Source organism: Homo sapiens, chromosome 16 (assembly GCF_000001405.40).
Source record: "Homo sapiens chromosome 16, GRCh38.p14 Primary Assembly".
NCBI lineage: Eukaryota > Metazoa > Chordata > Mammalia > Primates > Hominidae > Homo > Homo sapiens.
The window spans coordinates 17,109,485-17,127,293 of record NC_000016.10 but is presented as its reverse complement, the minus strand read 5'-3'; the positions used below and the strand labels follow the sequence as shown (position 1 = coordinate 17,127,293).

The 17,809-nt window shown below is 44.4% G+C and overlaps 1 protein-coding gene across 3 annotated transcripts in view; it reads left to right on the top strand.

The window, feature by feature from the left end:
• Positions 1 to 17,809, top strand: part of XYLT1 (xylosyltransferase 1) — a 369,192-nt gene that overhangs the window by 343,667 nt on the left and 7,716 nt on the right. For 2 of the 3 annotated variants that reach the window (XM_047434458.1, NM_022166.4), the window contains one exon: positions 9,315 to 9,648. In XM_047434458.1, the coding sequence (XP_047290414.1) occupies positions 9,315 to 9,648 (334 nt within the window). Of the gene's footprint in view, positions 1 to 9,314; positions 9,649 to 9,805; positions 10,183 to 17,809 lie in introns of those variants that run through there. The other variant, XM_017023539.3, reaches the window with a different exon arrangement.

Genomic DNA, 17,809 nt, shown 5'->3' with positions numbered 1-17,809 from the left:
ATTCAACCTAGGTCTCTTTGGCCACAAATCCTATGCTTAGTTGTGGTTTTGTCTCCACAGTTTTTAGCACACCTGGATTCGCTCAAGGGAAGTACCAGATCAATCACTGAATATATGATTAGATGAGTAGATGAATGATGGATTGAAGGAAGGATGGATGGACAGATGGGTCACATAGCTAGCTTTGTTTTTGATCATTCTGATCTAAATCCAAATGATACACCTTCAGAGAAACCTTCCCCGGCACCCACTTAAGCTGCTGCAATAGCTACATTCTCCATCCAACCCTTCCCTATTTTAATACTTTTTCTTAGCATTTACTATCTAAAATTATCTTGTTGCTTTATCTGGTCACTCATTGATTGTTCACAAGAGAGCTGGAACTGTGTCTCCCTCTTCACTGTGGTATCCCCAGCACACAGACAGTATGTAGTCTTTGTAGATGCTGAGTAAGACTTTTGAATGAATGAATGAGTGTACTTGGGTCGTGGTGCAGGAAGGAAGGGGAAGCATGATCAAGCCTGGTGCGTGTTATTCACACAAAACTGCAGCACCTGGTTTCTGCCTTCCTCACATCCCTAAGTGCTAAGGACGTGATTTGTCACAATGGTTCTGACTGCTGGATTAGGGACCAAGAGTCTGATTGTAGACTATGGTACATCTTGAGGGGCTAAGAGTATGTTGGGGAGAGGGGGAGTCCCACCCTCTTATATTTTCCTTGACAGTCCTTCTCTAGCTTCTGTGGCCCTGCCTAACGAATGTATGTATCCCCATGACAAACAGGCACCAGTGAGAGTTTCTTGTTAAGCCACTGTTTTCAATTAAGACTCCCAGTGGATTTGCTGGATGTGAGCAGCCAAGGGAGCCCATTCCATAAATTACTGGCATCAGGGGGCAATTAGATACTGCCCCAGTTCGATTCTGTGCTAGGGGCCTGAGCAGCCAATTGACAACATTAATGTCCCATTAAAGAGATGAATGCCTGGTGTCTGGGCTCTCCCTGTTTATCAGCCTGCTGTTGGGTGACTGGGTACTTCTGGCAGTGACAAATGATGTTGGCCGCTCCATGGCTAGTGCTTTTGGGGGATGGTCCTCACTACACAGGTCTGGTACCCTTGGAGTGAGAACCATCAAAATCACTGGCAAAAATAACAGCATGTGATGCAGAGAGCCCTAACTTGTATTTTGAATTTTTTCTAAACTCTTAATTTTAGTAGCAAATGAACAGAAAGGCAAGGAAGAACTACAGGACCACTCTGTGGGCTATTTAGGATCTCCTTGGTGTTAGCACTATCCCAGGGCCTTGTACAGTGCCTGGCTCACAGCAGGTGGCTGAACAGCTCAGATACATTTCTCCAATACATGGGAATCTCATGCTGTTGACTTGGAAATAAAAGATGCTCATTCTTTCTGCAGGTAGTCACCAAGTGCCTACAGTGTGCCAGGTTCAGGAGGGATTGTGGTGAACCAAACAAACCAGGCCCCTGTGGTCATGGAATTGCATTCCAATGAGACAGCCAGCCAGTGAGTGAGCAAATAGATAAACAAAAACAAACAGCTCAGCTAATGACAGGTATTCTAGAGAAAACTTCATTCATGTGATTGCTGGGGACTCAGGACATTGATGGGGACAACCTTCAATAGAATGATTGATTCATCTAGGAAGGCTTTTCTAAGGAGATCACTGCAAAGCTAAAGCCTGTAAAAGAGCCAGTCCTCGGGAGATCTGGAGCATTCCAAGCAGAGAGAAGAGCATATACAAAGGCCCTTAGGCACTGGGAATGAGCTAGGAGTACTCGAGTTGCAGGGAGACCAATGTACTGGGTGCAGCAAGTGAGAAGGAAACTGGTAGGAAAGAGGCCTCAGGGAGTAGTCTTGCAGGCCCGGGAAAGATGTTCAGGTTGCATTTTAAATGCAATGGAAAGATAGAGGGAAAATGGCGGATAGGAGGCAAGACAAACTTGCAGCTTCCACTCGGATGGACAGAGCAGTGTATGGAGCCCCACATCATGAACTTTTGCTCCAAGAACTACTGCAGAAACATGCCAGGAAAGCCAAGAGAATCCATAGAGCCTTTGAAGGAGGTGGATTGCCCCTGCAGGCACTGTGGGACAGCCAAGGAATTGTGAATTGGCTTGCTTTAACATCCCCAAAAGATCACACTAGCTCACCAGCAATGGATTCAAATCAAGAAGAAATCTCTGAATTACCAGAAAAACAATTAAGAAGTTCGACTATTAAGCCAATTAAGGAGGCACCAGAGAAAGGTGAAGTCCAACTTAAAAAAAAAGATATAGGATACGAATGGAAAAATCTCCAGTGAAATATAGCCTAAATAGAACACAATCACAACTTCTGAAAATGAAGGACACACTTACAAAATTGCAAAATGCACTGGAAAGTCTCAGCAATCGAATCAAACGAGTAAAAGAAAGAACTTCAGAACTTGAAGACAAGGCTTTCAAATTAACTCACTCCAACAAACACAAAAAAGAATTTTTAAAAAATGAACAAAGCCTTCACGAAGTTTGGGAGTATGTTAAACAACCAAACTTAAGAATAATTGGCGTTCCTGAGGAAGAAGAGAAATCTAAAAGTTTGAATAATGGAATAATTGAGGAAAACTTCCCCAGCCTTGCTAGAGATCTAGACATCTAAATACAAGAAGTTCAAAGAACACCTGGGAAATTCATTGCAAAAAGATCATGCCTAGGCACATAGTCATCAAGTTATCTAAAGTCAAGACAAAGGAAATAACCTTAAGAGGCAAAAGCATCAGGTAACCTATAAAGGAAAACCCATCAGATTAACAGCAGATTTCTCACAGCAGAAACACTACAAGCCAGAAGGGTCCTGTCTTTAGCCTCCTTAAACAAAACAGTTACCAGCCACGCATCGTGTATCCAGTGAAACTAAGCTTCATAAATGAAAGATACAGTTTTTTCAGAAAAATGCTAAGATAATTCACCACTACCAAGCCAGCACTACAAGAACTGCTAAAAGGAGCTGTAAATCTTGAAACAAATCCTCAAAATAAACCAAAATAGAATCTCTTTAAAGCATAAATCTCACAGGTCCTGCAAAACAACACAATGAAACAAACCAAGGTATTCAGGCAACAAATAGTATGATGAATAGAATAGTACCTCACATCTCAATACTAATGTTGAATGTAAATGGCCTAAAAGCTTCACTTAAAAGATACAGAACGGATAAGAATTCACCAACCAAGTGTCTGCTGTCTTCAAGAGACTTGCCTGGCACCTGAGGACTCACATGAACTTAAGGTAAAAAGGTGAAAAAAGATACTCCATGCAAATGGACACCAAAAGTGAGCAGGAGTAGCAATTCTTACCAGACAAAACAAAACTTTAAAGCAACAGCAATTAAAAAAGACAAAGAGGGACATTATATAATGATAAAAGGACTAGTCCAACAGGAAAACACCACAATCTAAATATACATGCACTAACACTGGGGCTCCCAAAACAATACTACTAGACCTAAGAAATGAGATGGACAGCAACACAGTAATATTGGCACAGTTCATCAAGACAGAAAGTCAATAAAGAAACAATGGACTTATGCTATACCCTACAACAAATGGACTTAACAGGTACTTACAGAACATTTTACCCAACGACTGCAGAATATACATGCTGTTCATCAGCACATGGAACATTCTCCAAGATAGACCATATGATAGGCCACAAAACAAGTCTCAACAATTTTAAGAAAATCAAAATTACAGCACATACTCTCTCAGACCACAGTGGAATAAAATTGGAAATTAACTCCAAAAGGAACCCCCAAATTCATGCAAATACATGGAAACTAAATAACTTGCTCCTGAATTCAACACTTCTGGGATACAGCAAAGCCAGTGCTAAGTGCAAAGTTCATAGCATTAAATGCCCACATCAAAAAGTCTGAAAGAGCCCAAATAGACAATCTAAGGTCACACCTTAATGAGCTAGAGAAACAAGAACAAACCCAAACCCACCAAGGAGAGGTGAAAGACCTCTACAAGGAAAACTGCAAAACACTGCTGCAAGAAGTCATAGATGACACAAGCAAATGTCATGCTCATGGATGGGTAGAATCAATATTGTGACCATGACCATACTGCCAAAAGCAATCTACAAATTCAATGCAATTCCCATCAGAATACCACCATCATTCTTCACAGAACTAGAAAAAGCAATCCTAAAATTCATATGGAACTAAAAAAGAGCCTGCATAGCCAAAACAAGACTAAGCAAAAAGAACAAATCTGGAGGCATTGCATTACCCAACCTTAAAGCATACTATAAGGCCATAGTCACCAGAACAGCATGGTACTGGTATAAAAAAAGGCATATAGAACAGTGGAACAGAATAGAGAACCCAGAAATAAAGCCAAATACTTACTGATCTTCAACACGGCACACAAAAACAAAGTGGGAAAAGAACACCCTATTCAACAAATGGTGCAGAAATAATTGGCAAGCCACGTGTAGAAGAATGGAACCGAATCCTCATCTCTCACCTTATACAATAATCAACTGAGGATGGATCAAAGACTTAAATCTAAGACATGAAACCATACAAATTCTAGAAGATAAAATTGGAAAAACCCTTCTAGACACTGGCTTAGGCAAAGACTTAATGACCAAGAACCCAAAAGCAAATGCAACAAAAACAAAGATAAGTAGATAGGACTTAATTTTAAAAGTTTCTGCAAGGCAAAAGAAATAATCAGCAGAGTAAACAGACAACCCAGAGAGTGGGAGAAAATCTTTGCAATCTGTAGATCCAACAAAGGACTAATATCTAGAATCTACAAGGAACTCAAATCAGCAAGAAAAAACAATCCCATCAAAAAGTGGGCTAAGGCCATGAATAGACCGTTCTCAAAAGAAGATATACAAATGGCCAACGAACATATGAAAAAATGCTCAACATCACTAACGATCAGGAAAATGCAAATCAAAACCACAATGCAATACCACCTTACTCCTGCAAGAATGGCCATAACCAAAAAATAACAGATGTTGGCATGGATGTGGTGAAAAGGGAACGCTTTTATGCTGTTGGTGGGACTGTAAACTAGGACAACCACTATGGAAAACAATGTGGAGATTCCTTAAAGAACTACAAGTAGTTCTACCATTTGATCCAGCAATTCCACTGTGGGCTATCTACCAGAGAAAAGTAAGTCATTATACAAAAAAGATTCTTGCACACGCATGTTTATAGCAGCACAATTCACAATTGCAAAAAAAATGGAAGCAGCCCATCAATCAGTGAATAAATTGTGTGTGTGTGTGTGTGCGCATATATATATATATACCCCATGGAATACTACTCAGCCATAAAAAGGAACGAAACAATGGTATTTGCAGCAACCTGGATGGAATTGGAGACCATTATTCTAAATGAAGTAATTCAGGAATGGAAAAGCAAACGTTGTATGTTCTCACTCATAAGAGGGAGCTAAGCTATGAGGAAATCAAGGCTTAAGAATGATACAGTGAGTTTGGGGACTCATGGGCAAGGGTTGGGGGATATAGGGGAGGGGATATAGGGGATAAAAGACTACACATGGGGTGCAGTGTATACTGTTCAAGTGATGGGTGCACCAAAATCTCAGAAGTCACCACTAAAGAACTTATTCATGTAAGCAAACACCACCTGTTCCCCAAAAACCTATTGAAATATATACATATACATACACATTATAAACTCAAAAAATAAATAAATAAACGCAATGGAAAGCCATTGGTTGGTTGGAAGCCAGGGAGCAGTATGTTAAGCTTGAATTTGAATATGTATTTGAATTTGGGTAATTGACCATTCTGCAGTGGATGGTGGTGGACTTCCACAATGAGGCCCCTTGAGAAGGTCTTGGAGGATGTGACAGCAGCAGGGCCCTAGCTCAGGCTGCCCCACACCTCACCCTTCACGCTCCTCGGTTGAAAAACAAGATCCAGGTTGTTTGTCAGCTGCTCCAGAACTCTCCTGCCCAGGTTATCTTGGTTTTAAAACTCGATTTCAGGGAAGTGTTTATCCTCATTTCTTTGGAGGATCCAAGGGCAGTGTTCTGGAGGGTTCCCATCTTCCCCTAACTGGTGAAAAATCACCTCCTTAAATATGACCCTAAAGTAGTTTTGTGGCCATTCATCTGTTTTGTTAGTATCTGTTGGAAACTAGTGCATGGAGGGAAGTCCATGTGTTCAGCCCCTACTCATTCAATATGTGTTCAAGATAGATTGATAGACAGGTGATACATAGATTGATTAACAGACAGACAGATGGGTGGATACGTTAATAGGCAAACAGATGGATAGATGATTAATGGTTACAATAGAGTTGACAGATTAATGTGACAGATTGGTAGAGATAGATGATAAACACACATAAGTAGATGATCAATCTGTATAGATCATTGATCGATCAATAGACAATAGGTGCTCAATATATCTTTATTTTTAGATCTCTATAGAGATATATTGAGCACCTACTCTATGTTCAGCACTGTTTCAGACACTAGAGACATATTGGTGAGCATGCCATATATAGTCCCTGCCCTCTTGGAGTTGACGGTCTAGATCTGGAGAGAGAGAGACCTGTAAATTAAAAGATGCAGTACTGTGGGGGTCAGGAGAAAAGCTATGATGATCAAATGCTTAGATATGTACCTCAGTGGTGCCTCTATCCAGGAAAGACTTATGAGTAGAGGTGATGCCTGAGCCAAAATCTAGATTACAAGTTTGAGGTGGCCTGGAGGATGCGGGGAAAGGTAGACCGGTCCAGAGAACAGGCGGATCATGGCCAGAAGATCAAGAGGAAACACAGAGCCCTTCCGGATGAGGTGCTGGGAATAACCCAGGGTGGCCTGGAGCAAGGAGCAAGTGGAAGGGAGGGAGAGGGATAGAGATGACAGAAGTGAAGCCGGAGCCAGACCAGAAAGGTCTCCAGGACAGGTAAAGCAACTGGACTTAGAAACCAAGAGTTGCTGAAAGGGGTTGTAAGCAGGAAAATAGAAATCGGGTTTCTTTAGAAAAACCTCTAAGACCTTGAAGCTTGAACTGAATCCTGTTGATCATTCATTTATTCCTTCAATAAATAGTATCCTTTTAATTCCTACTGTGTTCCGGGCACTATGCTAGGCACTGGAGGGTCCCAGAAGGTGCTGGTCCCTGCTGATCCACAGGGTAGTAGAAAAATACCAAGATTTCATAAGTCTGGGAGGGATGGCAGCCCCCACAGGAACATCAGAGCAGTAACTACCTCTGTTACTCTCAGGATGCTTTCTTAGTCCTAATCTTTAGTCTCTGGCCTGATGAAAACTGAAAGCAAGACACATGCCAGTGAGTGTACACAGATGGCAGCCACCCCTGGTAGGCAGTAGGGATTTGGTTTATGTGTGTTGGGTGAATGAATGACTGAGAGAGTGAATGAATTCATGAATGGAAGGCAATATGTAGCACAGTGGATGAGAATGCAGCCTCTGGGGCTGGACTTTATGGGTTCCCATGCTGGCTCTGCCCCCTCTGACCATAGCGAGTTATCTCACTTCTCTGAGACTCAGTTTCCACATCTGTAAAGTAAAGATAATGACAAGGGTCTCCCCTTTATGGATTTGGGAGTATCAACTGAATGGACACGTCTGCCTGGCACACTGTAATCCCTCAGCAAATATTAGCAGTGAAGCTCTGTAAGCTGGGTAAAGAATGGACTGACATAGTACCTCTTGCAAGAACAATGAGAAGCTAGATCAGCTCCTATTTCCCCTGCACATAGGAAATCTCAGAATGTGGGTATGTGTATCCACACCCGACCTTCGTGCACACACACATTAGAGATGCTAATTATGGGAAGACAGCAGAGGCAGTGCAAGCTTCATACTGTACCCGTTATTTGCCCCAACATGCCCACATGCTGTGTCCTCAAAACCACTAAGTTAATCCACCTGGGGGAGATCTTTTTTTCAAATTAGATGACCCCTAATTTAATTTGATTTGAAATAGCAACAAAGGTCCTTGTCAGGAATCTCCCTAGTTCATTCAGTTTTTGGTCAAGCCATTCACCCATTCATTCAACAAACATTACTCGAGCACCTGCTGTGTACTAAGCATGGTAGTAGGCACCAAGAAAGAGCAGGGAACCAGCCAGGTAAAACCCCTGTTCACACAGAGCTTATATTACAGCTGGAGGAGATAAAGAATAAATACATCAACAGACAACTCTGAGATAGTGCTTATCACCACTGATAGGAAGAAAATAAAGCAGTAGGGAATGACACAGATTGACTGAAGGTCCATTTGAAATTTGGGGTGGGGGGTGGTCAGATAAAGACTCTGTGAGGCAGCTTTAGACATAAGGGGCTGGCTGTGCAAGAAAGGAGTATTCCACACAGGGCAGATGGTGCAGGAAAGCTGAGCTGGGAATGAGCCTGCCTTGATTGAGGTGGCTAAAACAAGGCATCCTGGAGAAAGATGGGGAGGGGGTCATGGAGATGGAGGATGGGGTGAGCTCAGACTCTGAGTGCACTAAGAAGCCTGGGGGCAGCAGTAAGAGGACATTTTACAAGGCCTTTCTGACTACAGGATATAGAAGAAATTGCAGGTGGCACAAGTGGAAGGAGGGAAGCCCACCAGAGAGGATTGCTGTGGGTCACAGCTGCACACACCCCCAGCTGGCTGGCAGGAAGGAAGGATCGCAGGATGACTCTCATGCTTACAGTCCAGATCTAGGTGCCTTGGGAAAGCCAAAGCTGTCTCTTCCTAGGAAACCTATTTGAACCCCTGTAGATGACAGGCAATGCTGAGGGTCTCTAGCTTATGATAGAGCAGCTGTAAAAACATGATCTCTATTCTTGTTCAGAACCATTGCACCAAGTGGAGGTGTGTGATTTAGAAAACCAAGGATGGAATTGGAAACCCGCTGTACCTGTTGAGTGGCAGGGTGTATGTTTCTGTGGAATGGCCTGCAAGCAAGACATGCATTCATTCATTCATTCATTCGTTCATTCATTCACTCATTCAGCTCATGTGTGGTTTTCTTTTCAAAGCACATGCCATACACCAGGCACAGGAGGCCCGGTGGTTTAATAAAAGGACCACAGGCCTTTTGATCCTTCAGACTGAGTCCAGATGCCAGATCTTCTGCTTACAAGCTGTGCAACCTTGAGCAGGTGACTTAGTTGGAGCCTCAGTTTCTTCATCTGTAAAATGGGTATATGAAAGCTAACAAAGGGGATCCTAGACCTTTCTGAGACCTAGCCCCCTAGTTCAGGCCCAGTGACTTCAGAATTCACTCCCCTGTTTCAGGTCGGCACTGACTGGGATGCCAAGGAGAGGCTATTCCGCAACTTTGGGGGTCTTCTGGGGCCCATGGATGAGCCGGTGGGTATGCAGAAGTGGGGGAAGGGACCTAATGTGACCGTGACCGTCATTTGGGTGGATCCCGTCAATGTCATCGCAGCCACCTACGACATCCTCATTGAGTCCACTGCCGAATTCACACACTACAAGCCCCCTTTGAACTTGCCCCTGAGGCCTGGGGTCTGGACAGTGAAAATTCTCCACCACTGGGTGCCAGTTGCAGAGACCAAATTCCTCGTTGCGCCTCTGACCTTCTCGAACAGGCAGCCCATCAAACCTGGTAAGTACTCCCAGTGTCTATGTGGGAGAAATACTCCTTCCCTGGGGACCTTGAGGGTCTTTGGTGTTGGTAGGCAGCACTGCTCAGACATAGGGTAAGCAGCGGCCTCACAGAACAGCACTCCTTGCTCTCAATACTTTTCTCTGTGTTTCCCTAGAGAAACCATCTAATGTCCTACCTGCACACGGAGATGATGTCATCTGTCTAGGTATTAGGTAGCTATTTGTTAGACGCTCCCCCATTCAACTTCCAGAAAGCCTAGATCATATTGAAGACAAGATGGGAAATAAACCCAGGCAGGTATTAAGGATCAGCAAATCTTGTTTACTATTTTAAAAAAATCAAAACAGGAAATTCTGTTCATCAAAAATATGATACACTAGGTGGAAAAGATGAACCACATAATAGTAGAAGATATTTGCTACATTTTTTTAAAGTACTCATGTTCAGAATTTATAAAGAAATGCTATTCATCAGAAGTTGGCCAATCCAGCCCACTACCTGTTTTTGTAAATAAAGTTTTATTGGAACACAGTCACCATGCTCATTCATGTACATGTTGCCTGCTTCTGCTTTAGAGCTACAGTGGCAGAACTGAATAGTTGTGACAGAGACTGCATGGCCCACAAAGCCAAAGATACTATCTGGCTCTTTACAAAAAAAAAGACCACCAACCCTGCTATAAAAGAGAGGAAAAAAATGGAGGAGAGAACATGAATGGCCCCTCACACACGCAAAAACATGTTCAGCCTCATTAAAAATGGGAGAAATGAAAATTGAAAGCAAAGAGAGGTTCCACTTCACACCCATCATATTGGGAAATGCGTGACAGATAAGAACCTGTGTTACTAAGGCTGAGAGCAATAGGCATTCATGCAGTGCTAGTGGGAGGGTGAAGTGCTAAGACGAGTTTAGAAAATGTTTTAGTATCTCCTAGTAAAGCTGAACATACACACACCCTACCACAGACGTCTGACCCCAAGGTATAGGCCCTAGAGACATGTGCAGAAATGCTCACATGAGAATTATTCTTAATAGCACAAAACCAGAAACGGTCTGATTGCCTGACACTGGAAAGGAGAAACAATTGGCTGGCTGTTCATACAATGGAGTACTATGCAGCCGTGAATAGCAGTAAAGCATGGGCATGTGTTGGCTTGGATGAGTCCCTAAAACATAGTGTTGAGGGGGAAATATCACAGATAAATCATAATTATGATGTATTTATGTCAAGTTCAAAAACAGGCAAAGTCAACAATATCTTATTTCAGGAGTCGTATGTCAAAGGCAGCTGTTAGGAAATGAAACATGAAATTAACATGAAATTCAGGTCAGGGTTTCCATCCCCATGGAGAACAGGGACTGGGATGTCAGTTCCTATCCTGCCTGACTTTTTTCTTTGTCCATTGAAAGGGTTTACTTTTATACTTCTATTTCCCCCGCCCCTTTTCACCTCCTTTTATTAAGGGGAAAGTCTTTCTCCCTGCTCAAATCCTACCTCTAGAGAAACCACTGCCAACAGTCTGGTGTGAATCCTTTTAGAAGTTTTTCCATACTTGTAAAGCATAAACATAATACACACCATAAATCACAAAACCTTTGCTATTTTTTAAAAATGAAATAATACATTGTGTACTGTAAGATTGCTTTTTTTTTTTTTTTTTTACTTTCTAAGTCAGTATATATAAAGCTACCAGCTACATGATATTCCACTGGGTTAAGGAACCACAATCTATCTGTTCCCCTATTGGTGGACACATAAGTTTCTGTTGTTGCTGCTGATGATGATGATGTTACTGATAATAGTGCAAGGAAAAGTCTTTTTTTTTTTTTTTTTTTTTTTTTAATATAACAGAGGTTGGCTGGGTGCCATGGTTTACACGTGTAATCCCAGCACTTTGGGAGGCCAAGGCAGGCGGATCACTTGACACCAGGAGTTCGAGACCAGCCTGACCAGCCTGGCCAACATGGTGAAACCCCATCTACTAAAAATACAAAAATTAGCCGAGTGTGGTGGCCGGCGTCTATAGTCCCAGCTACTTGGGAGGCTGAGGCACGAGAATCGTTTGAACCTGTGAGGCGGAGGTTGCAGTGAACCGAAATCATGCCACTGCACTCCAGTTGGGTGACAGAGCGAGGTTCTGTCTCAAAAAAAAAAAAAAGAATTTAGGTCAGGCTCTTTTGCCTAGGCTGGAGTGCAGTCATGCAATCATAGCTCACTGCAGCCTCGAGCTCCTGGGCTCAAGTAATTCTCTCACCTCAGCCTCCTAAGTAGCTGAAACTACACGAGTGTGCCACCATGCCCGGCTTTTTTTTTTTTTTTTTTTTTTTTTAACTATTTTTGTGGTTGTGTGGTCTGTGTTGTCCTGGCTGGTCTCAAACTCCTGGATCTAAACCAACCCTCCCACCTTGGCCACCCAAAGAGCTGGGATTACAGGCGTGAGCCACCCACCACACCCAGCCCCAACAAGGAAGAGTCTTAAACATAAAATTGTATGTGCCCAGCCGGGTGCGGTGGTCACACCTGTAATCCCAGCACACTGGGAGGCCGAGGCGGGTGGATCACGATGTCAGGAGATCGAGACCATCCTGGCTAACACAGTGAAACCCTGTCTCTACTAAAAATACAAAAAATTAGCTGGGCATGGTGGTGGGTGCCTGTAGTCCCAGCTACTCGGGAGGCTGAGGCAGGAGAATGGCGTGAACCCGGGAAGCGGAGCTTGCAGTGAACTGAGATCACGCCACTGCACTCCAGCCTGGGTGACAAAGCGAGACTCTGTCTCAAAAAACAACAACAAAAACAAAAAAGAAAAAAAAATTGTATGTTCCCATGCAGTTACATCCATAACACAAACTCGTAGAAACAGGATTTCTGGGTCTCTCTATATTTGGAATTATTCATGTCCATCTCTAACAGATCACAAACTCAAAAGCCAGAAATGCATTACAGCCTCTTAGCTTTGAAGAGTTCTGGATTGGGTGCCTTTTAGCCAATGATGCAAGGGGATGGGGACACAGCATGGGGAGGAGGTGCCTTGAGTCCTAGCAAAGGGAGTTGTTTGGGAAAAACTCTCAAACCACTTTTCCTCTGCTCTCACACTGCCATGATCAACACAGAAGATTTCTGTGACAGCAAAATACATGGGGAAATTTTCCCCGTCAGCAAGCAAGCAATCAGTTCTGCAGCAGACACCAGCTGGGTGTCCCCCAATTCAGTTCCAACACTCTCCACCCCAGAGGTAGCATCAGACACCACAGAGTGAGGGCTCAGTGCCATAAGACCACCCCCTTCTGCCCGCTAATCACAAGTCTGGGCCTTTGGAACTTCTGACCAAATGGTTTCAAACTGGGGTTCCCACAACCCCCTCTTTGGGCTCAATTACTCTGCTAGAGCAGCTCACAGAACTCAGGGAAACACTTATGTCTATTGGTTTGTTATGAAAGATATTTTAAAGGATGCAGATAAACAGCCAAATGAAGCTATACAGAGGGCAAGGTCCAGAGGAGTCCTGAGTGCAGGAGCTTCTGTCCCCATGGCATTGGGGTGCCCACCCTCCCAACAGGTGGATGAATCTGTCCCCATGGCATTGGGGTGCACCACCCTCCCGGCAGGTGGATGAGTCTGTCCCCATGGCATAGGGATGCCCACCCTCCTAGCAGGTGGATGAATCTGTCCCCATGGCATTGGGGTGCACCACCCTCCTGGCAGGTGGATGAGTCTGTCCCCATGGCATTGGGGTGCCCACCGTCCCGGCAGGTGGATGAGTTCTTCCTCACCTTCCTGTGAAGATGCTACCATGTATTCAGCTCTCCAGAAGCTCCTTGAACCCTGTCCTTTGGGCCTTTTATGAAGACTTCATTGGTTACCCATGACTGAAGCATGACAACTGTGTCAAAATGTGATTGGACAAAAAGGGTCTGACCTAACTCAGCAAGCCCTGTCTGTTCAGATTCTCCTTGGCCTCTCTGTGCAGTAATTCCTTCCTCCAGGGAGTGTGTCAGGGCCCTCTCTGGAATGAGAGTCCTATCACCCACAATCTGATTAGACTCTGGCATTAGGCAGGAGAAGGGGGACAGGAGGAGGCCAGAGCGAGAGAGAGATTCTATTTGCTGAGTCCTAAAGTGCCCAACATTGTAAGAAAAGACTGTAAGAAGGGTTACAGGAGTTCTGAGCCAAGAACCGTGGACAAAAACCACTATCATGGCCTGGTGCAGTGGCTCACGCCTGAAATCCCAGCACTTTGGGAGGCTGAGGTGGACGGATTACTCAAGGTCAGGAGTTCAAGACCAGCCTGGCCAATGTGGTGAAACCCTGTCTCTCCTAAAAGTACAAAAAATTAGCCAGGCATGGTGACGGGTGCCTGAAATCCCAGCTACTCAGGAGGCTGAGGCATGAGAATCGCTTGAACCTGGGAGGTGGAGGTTGCAGTGAGCCAAGATCACACCACTGCACTCCAGCCTGGGTGACAGAGCGAGACTCTATCATCTCCAAAACAATAAATAAATAGGCCAGACACGGTGGCTCACGCCTGTAATCCCAGCACTTTGGGAGGCTGAGGTGGGCGGATCACCTGAGCTCGGGAGTTCAAGACCAGCCTGACCAACGTGGAGAAACCCCGTCTCTACTAAAAATACAAAATTAGCCGGGTGTGGTGACGTGTGCCTGTGATCCCAGCTACTCGGGAGGCTGAGGCAGGAGAATTGCTTGAACCCAGGAGGTGGAGGTTGCAGTGAGCTGAGATCATGCCATTGCACTCCAGCCTGGCAACAAGAGCGAGACTCCGTCTCAAAAAAAGAATCAATCAATCCTCTATCATAGGAGTCTCGAAGTAAACGCTCAGCTTCTGCTGTCTTTGTGCAGAGCAAGCAGAAAGACAGAGACCTCATGTTTTCTTGAGCTGGAAGCCTGCTCCTTCTTCCCCATGAACCAGGCAAAAGACAGCCCCTCCAGAGCTGACCAGGCCCAATCCCACCCCCTTAGAGGTCTTAGGTTCCTTCTTGATCTAGTTCACATCTTTACCATCTCTAACGATGTCTAATGCCAGACATGGAGGAGAGGGGAGTAAATGGCTGTGTCTTCGCTGCTTCAGGTACACCTGTTGGTCAGAATGAAGCAGTGCTCCTGAACACACCCCCACGCCAGTGGAGTAGCCTGGGGGCCATTCATGGGGTCCTGATTTTTCCAGTGTTTTCTTCTAGGGTTTCTAAGGAAGGCAGGGCTCTCCCTACACATGCCCAGGATGACCCAGGAGTCATTTTACCCCCACCGAGAGCAGCCCTCCTGTCCTTGGTAATTGTATTTGTTAGCGATGTTCCAATGAATGACAGTGAACACAAAGGTGGGAGCAATGCAATTTGTAAAATGATTCATCAAGAGTAATTTTCTATTGATGCGTCCCTGGTAATCGCAAGAAATCCGATGAGGTGGAATTGAGGAAAATTTAATTATAGAGACGAGCATCGCAAGCTAATATTGTAATAGCGTTTCCCACATTAACCTCATTTCTCATAAGGGTTTTTTTGCATCAACCACAATATTTGGCTCCCAGCGTTCGCAGGTTTGTTAGCTGCTCTTTTCCCTTTGAATGTCCTGCCTTTTGTCAGTTTCGGTATCTCCTCATTCTCCACTTTCTCACTCTGCAGAATAGAGGCACTAAGGGGCTCTGATAGAGAAATTAGGGCCCGCACCAAAGACAGCAGGCTCTGTTCTCCTGGCAGGTGGGGCTGAAGCTGCCCACCCTACCCTGTATTAGAGAAAGATGGGTTAGGACCAGACTTCCAAACACTGTGGCTCCTAACTACCGTGGGAGAAAGCAGCTTTGCTAAACCCCTTGCGAGACAGAGTATGTGCTCAATGACTGCTCACCTCCTTCCTCCCACTTGTGCCCATCCAAACCACAGAACCCAACCCTTTTGCTTCCTGGGGCATTGGGAATTGAAGGAGTGGCGATCTTGTCTGTGTTAGTCAAGGCAAATTTTGAATTCATCTACTATTCTCACTGCTTTTAGAAGGGTTAGCATATGGTCTTTCTTCCTTCTTCTTGCCTGCTCTGGACACTTGTTAATATCCAGGCTGTCCTGGGTGCCTTTGGTGGTGGCAGCTGCTGTCAGGCAAACAGGAAGCACTGTCTTCTGAACACTGCATTATCTTGGAAGGTTTCTTGTAATCCTAGCTATCTCAGCTCTCGCAAAGCCTGATTTGGTAAAGCGCAACTCACCAGACTCATTGGCCAGCCTTTTTAAAAATATATATGTGCTTCTACTGAGCAATAAAACAAGCAATGAATGTGAACGTCTTCAAAATATTAGAAATAGCATCTATTAGAAATAATAGAAGTGTTTAGCTTCTTTCCTTCACCCCAAATTGCTATACTTCCTGATTCCTCATCGTGCAGCCCTGGGAGGTAGTAGTAGTAGTCACTCTTACGTACATGTTACTGTTTAACCCATTTATGCCTGAGGTTGCAATTTTTAAAATTTTTTTTTGAGATGAAGTCTCACTCTATCGACCAGGCTGGAGTGCAATGGTGTGATCTCGGCTCAATGAAACCTCCGCCTCCCAGGTTCAAACGATTCTCCTGCCTCACCCTCCCGAGTACCTGGGATTACAGGCATCAGCCATCACGCCCGGCTTATTTTTGTATTTTTAGTAGAGACGGGGTTTCACCATGTTGGCCAGGCTGGTCTCGAACTCCTGACCTCAGGTGATCCACCTGCCTCAGCCTCACAAAGCGCTAGGATTACAGGTGTAAGCCATCGTGCCTGGCCCAATTGTTTGAATTTTTGCATGAGTGAAAAATCAGACCTTGGTGATGGCCTTGAGCAGTAGAGTATCAGGGTGAGTGATAAGCACTGCCTTTGGAGTCAGTCGGTCCTGGATTTAACCCCAGATCTGTCTCTAACTCCAGCTGCCTCTCTTTCCCCATCTGTAAAGTAGGAATGATAAAACCAGCCCCCTAGTTTTTTAGGTGTGTGAGGATTATGGACTAATACCAACAGTAATAATCCTAGCTGTATTTGTCTGTTCTCATGCTGCTAATAATGACCTGAGGCTGGGTAATTTATAAAAGTAAGAAGTTTAATGGACTCACAGTTTCAATGGTCAGGGAGGCCTCACCATCATGATGGAAGGCAAAGGAGAAGCAAAGGCACATCTTACACGGTGGCAGGCCAGAGCGCCTGTGCAAGGACACTCCCCTTTAAAAAACCATCAGATCTCATGAGACTTACTTATTCACTATCACAAGAACAACATGGCAAAAACTCATCATGATTCAATTACTTCCCACCAGGTCCCTCCCACAACACGTGGGGATTCTGGGAGCTACAATTCAAGGTGAGATTTGGGTGGGGACACGGCCAAACCATATCACTAGCTAAGCTTTTCCCAGCACTTAGTATATGCCAGGTGTCATTTGTAAATACTTTATATGAGTCAGCACACTTAAGCCTCACAAAGTGAGAAGGAAGGCATTAGTACTTTACCCATTTTATTGATGAAGAAACTGAGGTACAAGGCATGGAGGTCAGAAGTCACACACCTGGTATGTTGGACGTGGGGCTGCAAAACCAGACAGCATGACTGCAGTACCTGGGCTCTTGTATGAAGTGCTTCACAAAGTGACTGGCACATAGGAGGGGCCCAGCAAGGCAGCACTGTTATGAGAGCTAGTTTGACCTCCCACCCCACCTCACCCGGGTCCAAGCTTCATGCTTTCAGAGTGATTGTTCTGTGGTCAGTTCATGCACCCTTAGGCTTCTAGGAAGCAGAAATCCAACTTACGCAGAGTACAAGGTGGACGCTCGGCAGCTGAGATCTGGACTTCCCAAACAGACCTGGGTACAGGTCACTGTCACTCTCCAACCCAGGAGTCAGCAAAATTTTTCTGTAAAGGGCTAGATATATTTTCAGCTTGTTGGGTAAAATACAGTCTGTCTCAAATACTCAGCTCTGGTAGCACAAAAGCAGCCACAGACAATATGCAAATAAATGGGCACAGCCATGTTCCAATAAAACTTTATTTACAAACACAAGTGGTGGGCCACATTTGGCCCAAGGACTGCAGTTTGCCAACCCTCTTGTCTCAATACCCTGTTTTTTTGCCTTCATGACACTTATCACTGCCTGAAATAACCTTATTTATCTACTTATTTCTTTGTT